This window comes from Homo sapiens, chromosome 10 (genome assembly GCF_000001405.40).
Source record: "Homo sapiens chromosome 10, GRCh38.p14 Primary Assembly".
NCBI classification, from domain to species: Eukaryota; Metazoa; Chordata; class Mammalia; order Primates; family Hominidae; genus Homo; species Homo sapiens.
The window spans coordinates 133502677-133518122 of NC_000010.11; the positions used below are offsets into that span (position 1 = coordinate 133502677).

The window sequence follows — 15446 nt, forward strand, 5'->3', positions numbered from 1 at the left end:
ATGTTCGAGGGCAGGAAGCACCCAGCATGGGAGAAAGATATAGACTGGGAGTCTAGGCCAGTCTCACCTTTTCATGGTTTTCTGCCTGCTTTATATTCGCTGGAAGCTCATTAGATGGTACCCACCAGATTAAGGGTGGGTCTGCCTTCCCGGCCCACTGACTCAAATGTGAATCTCCTTTGGCAACACCCTCACAGACACACCCAGGATTAATGCTTTGAATCCTTCAATCCAATCAAATTGACACTCAGTATTAACCATCATGGGTAGGCTCTTTTCAACAGCCATCTCTTGGGCGAACTAATAAAGTGAGAAGTCACTACACCAGGGCATTAATGTATTCATGAGGGATCCACCTCCATGACCCAAACACCTCCCATTAAGCTCCACTTCCAACACAGGGGATCATATTTCAACATGAGGTCTGGAAGGTCTAATATCTAAACTATAGCATAAATATATCTCAAAAGAAATAAAATATGGCCATTCACTTAGGCAAGGAGCTCCCTGATTGTTGCTGTGTCCTAGAACATACACTGAAGTTTACAAAAACATTGAAGACTGGTTGTATCTAAACAGATTTTAATTTTAGACAACATGAACGCATTCCTTGCCATGAAAAATGAGGAGGTGTCTGCCTATGTTATCTTGTCAGAATTCATATCATTTACAGTCTATGCCAAAATTGTTTACTCTCATATTTTATAAATATAGTGGCTACCAGTATATATGATCAGAAACCTCTGATTCTAGCTTCTTTATTTCTGTTTTATTTATTTTATTATTTTTATTTTTTATTTTTATTTTTTATTATACTTTAAGTTTTAGGGTACATGTGCACATTGTGCAGGTTAGTTACATATGTATACATGTGCCATGCTGGTGCGCTGCACCCACTAACTCGTCATCTAGCATTAGGTATATCTCCCAATGCTATCCCTCCCCCCTCCCCCCACCCCACAACAGTCCCCAGAGTGTGATATTCCCCTTCCTGTGTCCATGTGATCTCATTGTTCATTTCCCACCTATGAGTGAGAATATGCGGTGTTTGGTTTTTTGTTCTTGCGATAGTTTACTGAGAATGATGATTTCCAATTTCATCCATGTCCCTACAAAGGACATGAACTCATCATTTTTTATGGCTGCATAGTATTCCATGGTGTATATGTGCCACATTTTCTTAATCCAGTCTATCATTGTTGGACATTTGGGTTGGTTCCAAGTCTTTGCTATTGTGAATAATGCCGCAATAAACATACGTGTGCATGTGTCTTTATAGCAGCATGATTTATAGTCCTTTGGGTATATACCCAGTAATGGGATGGCTGGGTCAAATGGTATTTCTAGTTCTAGATCCCTGAGGAATCGCCACACTGACTTCCACAATGGTTGAACTAGTTTACAGTCCCACCAACAGTGTAAAAGTGTTCCTATTTCTCCACATCCTCTCCAGCACCTGTTGTTTCCTGACTTTTTTATGATTGCCATTCTAACTGGTGTGAGATGGTATCTCATTGTGGTTTTGATTTGCATTTCTCTGATGGCCAGTGATGATGAGCATTTTTTCATGTGTTTTTTGGCTGCATAAATGTCTTCTTTTGAGAAGTGTCTGTTCATGTCCTTCGCCCACTTTTTGATGGGGTTGTTTGTTTTTTTCTTGTAAATTTGTTTGAGTTCATTGTAGATTCTGGATATTAGCCCTTTGTCAGATGAGTAGGTTGTGAAAATTTTCTCCCATGTTGTAGGTTGCCTGTTCACTCTGATGGTAGTTTCTTTTGCTGTGCAGAAGCTCTTTAGTTTAATTAGATCCCATTTGTCAATTTTGTCTTTTGTTGCCATTGCTTTTGGTGTTTTAGACATGAAGTCCTTGCCCATGCCTATGTCCTGAATGGTAATGCCTAGGTTTTCTTCTAGGGTTTTTATGGTTTTAGGTCTAACGTTTAAGTCTTTAATCCATCTTGAATTGATTTTTGTATAAGGTGTAAGGAAGGGATCCAGTTTCAGCTTTCTACATATGGCTAGCCAGTTTTCCCAGCACCATTTATTAAATAGGGAATCCTTTCCCCATTGCTTGTTTTTCTCAGGTTTGTCAAAGATCAGATAGTTGTAGATATGCGGCGTTATTTCTGAGGGCTCTGTTCTGTTCCATTGATCTATATCTCTGTTTTGGTACCAGTACCATGCTGTTTTGGTTACTGTAGCCTTGTAGTATAGTTTGAAGTCAGGTAGTGTGATGCCTGCAGCTTTGTTCTTTTGGCTCAGGATTGACTTGGCGATGCGGGCTCTTTTTTGGTTCCATATGAACTTTAAAGTAGTTTTTTCCAATTCTGTGAAGAAAGTCATTGGTAGCTTGATGGGGATGGCATTGAATCTGTAAATTACCTTGGGCAGTATGGCCATTTTCATGATATTGATTCTTCCTACCCATGAGCATGGAATGTTCTTCCATTTGTTTGTATCCTCTTTTATTTCCTTGAGCAGTGGTTTGTAGTTCTCCTTGAAGAGGTCCTTCACATCCCTTGTAAGTTGGATTCCTAGGTATTTTATTCTCTTTGAAGCAATTGTGAATGGGAGTTCACTCATGATTTGGCTCTGTGTTTGTCTGTTATTGGTGTATAAGAATGCTTGTGATTTTTGTACATTGATTTTGTATCCTGAGACTTTGATGAAGTTGCTTATCAGCTTAACTAGAAAATCTAGAAGAAATGGATAAATTCCTTGACACATACACTCTCCCAAGACTAAACCAGGAAGAAATTGAATCTCTGAATAGACCAATAACAGGATCTGAAATTGTGGCAATAATCAATAGCTTACCAACCAAAAAGAGTCCAGGACTAGATGGATTCACAGCCGAATTCTACCAGAGGTACAAGGAGGAACTGGTACCATTCCTTCTGAAACTATTCCAATCAATAGAAAAAGAGGGAATCCTCCCTAACTCATTTTATGAGGCCAGCATCATTCTGATACCAAAGCCGGGCAGAGACACAACCAAAAAAGAGAATTTTAGACCAATATCCTTGATGAACATTGATACAAAAACCCTCAATAAAATACTGGCAAAACGAATCCAGCAGCACATCAAAAAGCTTATCCACCATGATCAAGTGGGCTTCATCCCTGGGATGCAAGGCTGGTTCAATATACGCAAATCAATAAATGTAATCCAGCATATAAACAGAGCCAAAGACAAAAACCACATGATTATCTCAATAGATGCAGAAAAAGCCTTTGACAAAATTCAACAACCCTTCATGCTAAAAACTCTCAATAAATTAGGTATTGATGGGACGTATTTCAAAATAATAAGAGCTATCTATGACAAACCCACAGCCAATATCATACTGAATGGGCAAAAACTGGAAGCATTCCCTTTGAAAACTGGCACAAGACAGGGATGCCCTCTCTCACCACTCCTATTCAACATAGTGTTGGAAGTTCTGGCCAGGGCAATTAGACAGGAGAAGGAAATAAAGGGTATTCAATTAGGAAAAGAGGAAATCAAATTGTCCCTGTTTGCAGATGACATGATTGTATTTCTAGAAAACCCCATTGTCTAAGTTTTATTTTGATTCACTTCTTGTTGTTCTGGGCTTTATGGTCAAGTAATTTGTTTTAGAAAACTTTACTGGGAGGTGACATCAGCAACATGGTGGCACAGGAGACTTCTACCTCTCCCTCCACCCATGGACACGTGGAATAAACACCTACACATGGATAAATTTTCTTTGAGAGAAAGTCAGAAAAAGTTGAGAGTCTCTTACACAGCAGACAACTGAGAAAATATTCACATCAAGCAGGTAGAAAAAGCTGAGGCACACGCAGGCACAAATATCACCCTGGGTACTGCACCATAAACCAGGAAAAACTCCCAACACATAACTTCTCCCTGAGGAGAGAAGGGTATGGACCACATGTATATGACCCTAGCTCCAAGGTTCCCATGGTTTGACTTTTAATTCACCTAGCTCTGGTAGTGGAAGGGACTAGGCATACACAAGTCTCCCTAGACCACAGAACAAAGTAGCAAAACCCTAAAAGGAGTTTGTTGGTATACTCCTCCAACTTCTGCTAACAGCAGAGCTTCTAACTAGCCTGAATTAGGGAGTTAACCGGGCTGACAAACTACAATATTCCTCTGTTATTGATGGTTTTTCTTTCCAAAGTTTCAGTTAACTATGGCCAACTGCAGTCTGAAAATATTAAACGGAAAATTCCAGAAATAGACAGTTTGTAAGTTTTAAATAACTGTTATCACCATATGTTGTTATAATTGTTCTATTTTATAATTAGTTATTATGTTTCCTTCATTATTGTGCCTAATTTATAAATGAAACTTCATCATAGGTATGTATAGGAAACAAAGCACAGTATATATAGGGTTTGGTGCCATACACAGCTGCAGGAATCTGCAGAATGTCTTGGACTGTATCACCCACGGATAAGGGGGACTAGTGTATAGCCCTCCGGGAGGCTAAGCAGTAGCTCAGCACATCTTAAGCCTTCTCCTCTCCTGTGGTTCACCTGTGATATATCCAGATCTACCCATTCTTTCTGGAAGAGGTTTGTCCACACACTGACTGCCCCAACTTTTACAGCTCCCACCCAAAAGACTGCATCCTAAACTGTCTAACTCTGGGAATGAAAGCGTCTTGGCATTTGCTAGTCTCCCTAGATTACGGTACAAAGAGGTAGTTTTAAATGGGCAGGCAAGGTTGGGCGCGGTGGCTCACGCCTGCAATCCCAACACTTTGGGAGGCCAAGGTAGGTGGATCACCTGAGGTCAGGAATTCGAGAACAGCTTTGCCAACATGGTGAAACCCTGTCTCTACTAAATATACAAAAATTAGCCGGGTGTGGTGGCGGATGCCTGTAATCCCAGCTACTCGGGAGGCTGAGGCAAGAGAATCATTTGAACCCAGGAGGCGGAGGTTGCAGTGAGCCGAGATTGCACCACTGCACTCCAGCCTAGGCGGCAGAGTGAGACTCCGTCTCAAAAAAAAAAAAAAAAAAAAAAAGAAAGAAAAAAAATGGGCATGCAAGCACTTATAGGAGTTACACCCGCAAGGACCAATGCAGACAAGAGGTTAAATACACGCCTTCCAGTTTCTCCCTGGAAGGGGTTAGTCTGCACAATTTTCCAGTTACTGCTTAAGGATCAGGCTCCTATCTAGCCTGCATCTGGGAGCCAACAGGGCCGACAAACGATAGACCTCCAGGATTCTGAATGAGAGTTCAGGCACTTCCCAAGCCTTTCCCTCCACCTCACCCCAGTGATAAAACCAGCTCTGTAGATTCCTTTTAGAAGTAGTTTGTGCACCAAGTGCCACAACTTCTACAGCTCCCACCCGGAGGAGTGCCTCCTTAACCACCTAACTTTGGGAATTGGTGGGTCTCTGCATTTCTGAGTCTCCGTGGACGACAGAAAATAAAGAAGTGTACATTCAACAATCCAACTTCTAGTGACTATCAGAGGGTGCATTCTGCATGAAAATGCAGACACTTGTCACAGATCCTTCTTCTGACATAGTGCATAGAGAGTGGGAGATAAACTCTTGCTCTTAGCTTCACCCTGAGCAAAGAAGAAACTGGAACATATATTTAACACTCCAATCTTTCCAACTGCATCTAGTTTCTATCTTACCTATCTCAAGGCACTGACAGGACTTGGCACATTGTAAAATTCTACGGTGGGCAGTCGGGGGGCACTAAAATCAGAGACAGTGGTTTGGACAAACCAGGATTTAAGAGGCACCTCAGAATCTCTGGACCAATTGGTGAGGGCCTTCTCCTACACTGACAGAACTGGGAGTCTCACAGTCTGACAGAACTGGGAGAGGCTGCTGTCTTATGTAATGCACGGACACTAATACAGAGAAACAAAGGAAATAGAAAAACAGGGAAATGGGTTCCAAATAAAAGATCAAGATAAATCTGCAGAAACCAACCCTAGTGAAGTGGAGATGTATGATCTACCCAATGAGGAATTCAAAATAATGGTCATAAAGATGTTCACTAAGGTCAGGAGAAAAATGCATAAACAAATAATTTCAAAAAAGAGATAGAAAGTATTTCAAAAGCGGCCAATAGAAATTATAAAACTGAAGAATATAATAACTGAACTGAAAAATTCAGTAGAGGTGTTCAACAGCAGACCAGATTAAGTGAAAGAGAGAACCAGTGAGATTAAAGACATGTCATTGGAAATAATCCAATCCTAGAAGTAAAAAGAATGAAAAAGATAGCTTACAGGACTTCAACAAGCAGAACAATATATTCAGAATTGGTAGACCAGGAGGAAGAGAGGGAGAAAGGGACACAAAACATATTCAAAGAAATGATGGGGAAAAACCTCCCAAGCTTAGGGAAATAAATTGAAATCAAGATTCAGGAAACTCAGATGACACCAAATAGGAAAAATCCAGAGACACACATTTGAGACATATTATAATCAAATTGTTAAAAATTTAGACAAAGAGAGAATTTTGAAAGCAACAAGGGACAGCAAATAGTTACACAAAAGGGATGCCCACCGTGTAAGATATCCATGGATTTTCTTTTTCCAGAAACTTTATAGGCCAGGAAGGAGCTGGATGATATATTCAAAATCCTAAAAGAAAAAAAAATTACTGCCCAAGAATACCATACCTAGTAATACTATCTTTCAAAAATGAAGGCAAGAATAAGACTTTCTCAAACAAACAAAAGTCGAGGAAGGATATCACCATTAGATGTGCCTTACAAGAAATTCTAGGAATTCTTCAAGCTGGATTAAAAGGATACTAATTGATAGGATAAAAATACAAAAATAAAAAACTTACTGGTAAAAGTAAGTACATTGTCAGATTCAAACTAGTAATCAGGCAATGGTCTTCTGTAAAACAATTCTATCTCTAGTACAAAGGTTAAAAGATAAAGCAATTAAAAACAACCATAGCTACAATAATCTGTTGAGAGATACAAATGATGAAATGATATAAATTGTGACATCAAAAGCATAAAATATGAGGTGGGGGAGTAGAAATGTAGAGTTTATTTATGCAATCAAAATTAAGCTTTTATCAGCTTAAAAATAGCTGGTTATAAACATAAGATGTTTTCTGCAAGCCTCAAGTAACCACAAAGCAAAAATCTGTAGTAGATACACAAAAGATAAGAAGAAAATAGTCAAAGCATATCACTATAGACAAGCGTCAAACCATCTAAGATCAAGAACAAGACAAGGATGCCCACTCTCACCACTTCCATTCAACGTAGTACTACTGTCAGTCTTAGCTAGAGTAATTAGGCAAGAGCAAGAAATAAAAGGCATCCAGATTGGAAAGGAGGAAATAATACGGTTCCTGTTTGCAGATGACATGATATTACGTACAGAAAACCATAAAGACTACATCAAAACTACTAGAACTGATAAATAATTGCATTGAGGGAATTGTTTTGTACCCGTTTATGGTGGGAGTTACATAAAATATAATATATACTACAATAAATATAATAAATATACTCTATATTATAAATATAATATATATAATACATATAATAGCATTATATTTCATAGATCTGTACACCAAAGGAAAAGAAGTCTATTTTACATATGATGATTTTGAAAAATAAAAGAACGGAAAGTAGTATGGAGACTTCTGTTTAATGATAGTAGATGCGTGTCATTTTTATTATACTCTCCTCTTTTGAAACTAGCCAAGAATAACAATGGAACAAAAAAGAAAATTCCAAAATTAGTGCAGCAGGGAAATTGCCATGAGCACCATCACATCCTGAATCTTAGCTTTGAACAACTTGTCTGCAACAAATGAAGAGAATGCAGAGACCCCAGATATGCCTTTCGAGGCCTTTGGTAGGTCACATATTTCTCCAAATTCATGTCAGACCCAACAGTGCATGATTAAAACAGTGAGCAACCAATGCAAGGAGGTGTCTGAGAAGGTGCTCCTGCCACGGTCATGAGGACACATGTGTCAGCTCCTCAACTGTTCCAAAAAGCATGAGAGATGTGAAGCAGAGCCACACAAGACCTTCAGGAAGGCAGGACCACTCCACCCACCCCACCTGCAACAGGCCACTCATCCCAGCCTAGTCTGGATTAGGAGAGAGTTCTGGGAGTTTCCTTGCACAGAAATAACTGATACCATGTTTATGAATTAGAGCAGTCATTGTTGCAACATATCCGTTCTCCACAAATTGATCTATAGATTGAGTGCGATTCCAGACATTTCAGTAGTTTTTGGTAGAAATGGACAAGATGACTTTAAAATGTAGGTAGAAATGCAAAGGGCCAAGAATATCCCCTAGGAGAGGAACAAAGTTGGAAGAGTTACACTATCAGATATCAAGAGTAATTTTTAAAATGTTCTAAATAAGACAGTGTGGGATTGGTGCAAGGAGGGACAAATAAACCAATGGAGCCACACAAAGTGCAGACTCACACATGCATAGAAGCTTGACTTATGACTTGTGCTTACCTTACGTTACAGCAATTTCACTTTTAGATATATAAACAACAGAGGTAAGCAACGCAGGTGCATTAAAAGGCAGGCACTGAAATTTCATGACAGCATTATTTGCATAGTGAAAAAGTAGAAAAAACAGTATTGTTTGGGGTATAATTGATGCATCATGCTATACTCACAGAGTGGAATAATATATAGCAGTGAAAAAGAATGAACTACTTCTACAAATAACACAAACATGAAGTTAAGTTCACAAACATGAGTGAATCACACAAACATGAAGCTAAGTAAAAGAATTAAGACACAAAGAATGCATACTGTGTGATTCAGCGAATGTTACATAAAGTCTAAAAGTGGCCAGGACTATTCTGTGGTATTAAAAGGTAGGATAAACTCCCCTAGGACTAGGGGAGGAGTTGGTGACAGCCAGTGATGTTTTTCCGAGGGCGGGTGATGTTTCTACTCTGAAAGCCCTTCGGCATGGCCACACTCATGTTGTGATAACCCATCAGGCTATACACTTAGCATACTTTTCCTTATGTATTTGATAGTATTGAGATTACAACAGCTGCAGTATTTATAGATAAATGCACTAAACAGGACACAGAGAGGTAGTAGACAATTATAAAAGGCATAATTTATGAAGAAGATGTAACAGCCACAAATCTCTATTTACCAAAAACATGGAACTAAATATTTGAACTGAGATCTACTAGAAATAAAAAAAGAACTAGACCATAGTTCTATGACAGTGGCAACCTTCAAAACACAGTTTCAGAATTGGACAAATTTAGTACAAGAAGCAAATATGGAAAAAACTGAATAATGTAATCATTAAACTTACTTTTTAAACAGAAGATAACGTTTTGTTTGTGTGTTCATGTCCCAATTACAAAAATCAATTTTGTACTTGGGAACAAAGTAAACCTTATCAAATTATAAAAAGTAAACACTTTACAGTCCACATTCTTTGATCTTAAGTCAACAAAGTTAGAAATAGTTAAAAGGTAACTTCCCCAATCTTCATTAATTAGAAATTGAAATCAGATTACTGAAAAAAGTAAGAACTTTTGAAACTGATGTACACTGGTGATGTCCTCATATCTATTATTGGAAGTGCCTTATTGCCAGCTTTTCACATTGTGCTGTCATCATCATTTAACGGACTCTTTTGCAAATTGATCTAACTCTTGCAACATATTATCATTCGATTTCATACAAAGGTTATTCCCTGGCATGCACTTGAGGAGTCTGGGCTTTGTGGGAGTTGTTTCTGGGCATATATTAACCTACAAAATATACGACACAGAAGATTGTCCTTGTAAATAGAGTTTTAAGTTTAAAAAATACAAACTATGGAGTGTTAGACAGGACTCTATTTCCTAGGCTATGAATACAACTGACATATCTTCTGCATATGAAACATCCAAATGAGATAAATATATTAAAAGCACCACAACTTCCACATGATTTAAATCCAGAAAATAATTCCCCAGGTTTCTGAAATGCTTCTCACAGTCTTGGCAATTTCAAGATGCCACTGGAGTATTATAGGATGTCTCCATGCCATGATTGTCCTTAAAATCTCAGAAATAGATGCTAGAAAATTACTTTAAAAGATGTTGCATAAGTGGAAGTTACTGATTCTCTCCTTATCTAGTGCTCTGTGGAGGGACACAATCAAGGAGGAACTTCTGCCTCTGAAAATTACAGGCGATCCCACAGCATTCCTGGAGCTTGGAAGGGCTGGAAAGACAGGGTCTGCCGAAGACTGAGGCTAAATTAGAACCTCAGGGAATGCTGTCCTCCTCCACACTCCATAATCTCACTGACAAGCATCATATAAAAATATCAGTGGAATAGAGCTGGTGGAGCTGCAAGAGAGAGCCTCTCTCCCAGGAGCAAAGAGAGAGCGAAAGCGATGCATGCAGACAAACTCGAAGTATGTCTAGGGGAATCAGGAGCTGCTGGTACATGTTCACACAGAAACAACAAACTTGCGACTCAGCCTAACCCCCATTAAGATGAGCACAAGCCCCCACACATAAAGAACTAGCAAAATAAAATGTGTGCTCTTCTCAAAGCATAAAACACTTTTGACCTTAGTATCTACTGTCTTACACAAGATGTCCAGTATGCAAAAAAGCAAGGAAAAACAGAAGACATAAAATAATCATTACTGCTAGACTCGGATATGACACAGGTGGTGGAACTATCAGAAAGGGAATTTAAAACAACTCAGTAATATGCTAATGGTCCTAATGAAAAAGACAGACCATACGCAAGATCAGGTAGGTCATTTTAGCAGAGAGCTGGAAACTATAAACATGAACGTCATGGGAACAATAGAAATTTTAAACCACAGCACTAGAGAAGAAAAATGCCTTCAAAAGGCTCACCAGGAAACTGGCACAGCTCAGGAAAGACTAACTTGAAGATAGAGCAATAGAAACTGTATGACTCCATTTACATGAAATAGCCAGAATAGGTCAATTCCTAAAGACAGAACACAGACTGGTGATTGCCAGGGACTAGGAGCAGGGAGAAATGGAGAGAAGCTGCTTGATGGGTATGAGGTTTTATTCTGGAATGATGAGGATGTTTTGGAAGCAGAGGTGGCGGTTGCACAATATTGTGTATGTACGAAATGCCACTGAGTTGTTCATTTTAAAACGATCCATTTTCTGTTAAATGAATTTCACCTCAATACATTTTAAAAAATAATAAATGGGAAAATTAATGTAATTTTCTGTATTAACAGGCTGAATAAGAAAAATTATATTGTCTTTTCAAAAAATACTGTAAAAACAATAAAATTCATCCTCCATTCCCACTAAAAATTCACAGCATTCTAGGAATAGAAAAGAATGTCCCTACCTTAACAAAGGGCAACTACAAAAACTTACGGCTAACATCATACTTGAAGATAAGTGGGTAAATGCTTTCCCCCAAGACTGGAAAAAATGTCAACAGTTCCTCTCGCACCACTTGTATTAGTGTGCTCTCACGCTGCTAATAAAGACATACCTGACACTGGCTAATTTATAAAGGAAAGAGGTTTAATGGACTCACAGTTTCACATGGCTGCGGAAGCCTCATGGTCATGGTGGAAGGCGATGGAGGAGCAAAGTCACATCTCACATGGTGGTAGGTAAGAGAGCTTGTGCAGGGGAACTCCCATCTGTAAAACCATCAGATCTCGTGAGATTTATTCACTACTGTGAGAACAGTCTGGGGGAAACTGCCCCATGATTCAGTGATCTCCACCTGGCCCTGCCCTTGACATGTGGGGATTATTACAATTCAAGGAGAGAGTTGGGTGGGGACACAGCCAAACCATATCTCCACTCCTATTCAATACTGTGCAGTAAGTCAAGAAAAAGAAATAAAAGGCAGGCAGATTGGAGAAGAAGAAATAAATCTGTTTTCATTCATAGGTTATATAATTATCTATATGGAAATCCCTACATATTTACCCCCAAAAGCTACTGGAAACTAATAAATGGGTTTAGCAAGACTAGAATATAAAGTCAATGTACAAAAGGCAATTGTATTCCTATGTACCAGCAATGAATAACTAAATAGGAAACTAGAATTTTTAAATAAAATTAAATGTTTAAAAAACATTTACAATAGCAACATATGAAGCACTTAGATATTAATTTAATAAAATATATGCAGGATATGTCATGTTCATGGGTTGGAAAAGATTCTTGTTAGTGCATCAATTGTCCCCAGTTTTATCTATAAATTCAATGCTATTCTAATCAATATCTTAGCAATCAGATATTGATCAAATAATTCTAAAATCTATGCAGAAAGGCAAAGGAACTAGAATGGTCAAAACAACTATGAAAAAGAACAAAGTTGTAGGACTCTCGTTACCTAATTTATTCCCGCTGCCCAATTTAAAGATGTAAACTGGGTAGCAAGAGTCCTTCAGCTTGAGGTACAGTAAAAAAGAGTATGATTTTGGTGAAAGACAAAGACAAGTTAATGGGTCAGGATAGACAGCCCAGAAATAGACCCAGACAAATATACCTGTTTTTACATAGGTGCAGTAGCAACTTGATGGACAAAGGGTAGTCTTTTCAACAAACAGTGCTGGGAAAATCGAGTGTCCACATGCAAAACAAATAAACCTTGACATATACGTCATACTTCATTAAAAATTAAACTTTCCCAGTGCTTTGGGAGACCAAGGTGGGAATATCGCTTGAGGCCAGGAGTTCCAGACCAGCCTGGGCTACATAGTGAGACCCTGTCTCTAAAAAAAAAAAAAATTAACCAGGCTTGGTGGCACGCACCTGTAGTCCCAGCTACTTGGGAGGCTGAGGTGGGAGGATTGCTTGAGCCTAGGAGATTGAGGCTGCAGTGAGCCAAGATCTCACCTCTGCACTCCAGCCTGGGCAATAGAGGGAGACTGTGTCTCAAACACACACACACACAACACCTGGTTTTTCTTTTTTTAAAAAAAAATTAACAAGATAAAAGTAGGGAAGGCAGGAGACCTTTGAGCCCGAGAGTTTCTATCCTGAACTTTGATTGTAAGGATGTTTTAATTCAGGTGACATTTGGACATACGTATGCAACTTTAACACTGAATTATGCCAACATTCATGACTTTTCTTTAAATTCTCTTAAGTTATTTAATATCGTATCACGTTTTTACACAGAGTAGTTGAACTGTCTGACTTTTTTGCACTTTAATTTTACATTAATGGTTTTATTCTAGATTAGTTTCTCCATTTAAATTATCCAATGAAGATTTGGTTCCTTAGTTTTTTTGTGGGGGGTTCATATCCATTATTTTTAACTCATTATGACTTCTGCCAATGTGAATTTTCCTTTGTGGCCAATATTTCTTCCAATCCTATATTTAAAGGAAAAGCTTTATTAGACAAATTAAATTTAACAGAGTTTAATTAGGCCAGAATAGGCTCAGAGAGACTGCAGTGGAGCCACGTGGTGGAAGATTTATGAACAGAAAAGAAATGTAGAGAAAATGAAAATGAGGTCTAGAAACAGCTGGATTGTTTACAGCTCTGTGTTTGCCGTATTTGAACACAGTTTGAACAGTTGCCTGCTCTCAATTTCTGTACAGCCTCGTCACCGATGGTCTGCATACCACACTCTAGGGAGCACTGTGCTAGGCCATACAGTAAGTTCAGTAAACTGTACAAAACTTATATACACACCACATTCTCTGACAACAATGGAATTAAATTAGACATCAGTAAAAGTATAAACTAACAATCTTCATAAAATTATTTTATTTTTAGCTGTGGTATTGGCATTGTAAGTAGTTTGAGAGAGATTAGAGAGAGTAAGGTCTTAACTCTAAAGATGCAACAAAATTAACTGCATTTTGACCATTGTTGAATTTGAGTGTTAGCTATGTGGGGGTGCTTTATCTTTCTCTCACTGTTTTTTCACATTTGAAATTTTCTCTAATTAAAAAATAATTTCTATATATTTTGAAAAATACCCCATTTGCACATGAATCATGAATCAAGGGATGGAGATTAAGAAAGCACACAGAGCTCAGTGAATAATGGAACCGTTAAATATCAGCACTTGGGGAAGCAGTAACAGAAGATCTTACAGGTAAATATATAATCATAAGTCCTTGTACTAAGAAAGACGGACTGAAAATTAATAAGCCAAATGTCCAACTGAAACTAAGCAGCATACTGGACCCAAAGAAGGGCAGAAATCATGAAATACAAAATAATGAGGAAATAGAGAGGAACACAACCAAGGCTTGCTATTTGAAAAAGATTAATAAAGTAGAGAAACTGCTTCTGAGACTACTTAAGCACAAAAAAGCACAAATAAACAATGTTTGGGATGTCAAAGGAACATAATGATAAATACAACCATGACTGTAAACATAAGACAATACTAAAACAAATTTATGTGAATAAATTTGACAGCTTACAAGAAATCACAATTCCTAGAAAAAATGTAGTTTTCGTAATCAATTCAAGAAGTGTAGAGCCTGACCAGTTATGCTACTCTTAAATACATTGAATTATTAATTCTAAATGTTTTCACAAGTAAAAATACCATATGGTTTCAAAAGTGAGTTCTTCTAAAGCTGTTAGATCATTTCAATCTTACATAAACTCTTCAAAAGGATCAAATATGAATGAATGGTCATCAAATCATTCTTTGGAGCCTGGATAATTTTGATATTCAACACAGAGAAAGACAGAAGAGAAAACTATGGGCCAGCCTCATACTGAACATAGATGCAAAAATCCAAAACAACCTGTGAGTAAACCAAATGCAGCTGCCAGCCAGCCCTTCCTCTGGGTGCAAATCCGTCAATACATTAAAAAGACAAACTGTCAGGACCAAACTGTGTTTATTCCATACATTTATTCACCACTTTCACAAATTAAAGGGGAAAATCATCTGAACATTTCAAAAGAAGCATTTAATACAATTCAACATCTATTATTAACTTAAAAATTCTTAGTAGACTAGAAATAAAAGGTAATTTCCTTAAACTCAAAAAGTATACCTATCAAAACCTTACAATAAACATCATTCATAAAGGGGCAATGGCTACTGAGCGTCCTCTTAGAGAACTTCTGAGATGTTTCCCATTAAAATAAAAATCAAGGCAACAGTGTACTGAGGATCTGTTTGTGCAATAAGACAAGAAAAAGAAATTACAGGAATAAGGATTGAAAGATATAAAGCAAAACTCTCATTGGTCACAGACGACAGGATGGTCTACTGAGAAACCACAAAAGAATCTGCACAGAAATTATTGGAAATAAGAGAGTTTAGGAAGGGGGCTGCCTCTAGGATCAATAAGCAAAAATCATTTGTATTGCTATACACTAGCAATAAATAGTTGGAAAACATAATTTATCAAGAACTCTGCTTAGAAAACTCAACGTTAACTAAGAGTAAGGTTAACAAAAATGTGTACAATTTACATGCGGAAAATTATAAAATTTA

General features: G+C 37.9%; 1 long non-coding RNA gene across 2 annotated transcripts in view; it reads right to left on the reverse strand.

Moving 5' to 3' along the window:
• The window catches only part of LOC105378575 (uncharacterized), a 35536-nt gene that overhangs the window by 11253 nt on the left and 8837 nt on the right, over window positions 1-15446 (reverse strand). For both annotated transcript variants that reach the window (XR_946512.3, XR_007062396.1), the window contains exons 3-4: window positions 11544-11652; window positions 6537-6613 (exon numbers count right to left, since the gene is read on the reverse strand). This is a non-coding gene — a long non-coding RNA (uncharacterized LOC105378575). The remainder of the gene's footprint in view (window positions 1-6536; window positions 6614-11543; window positions 11653-15446) is intronic.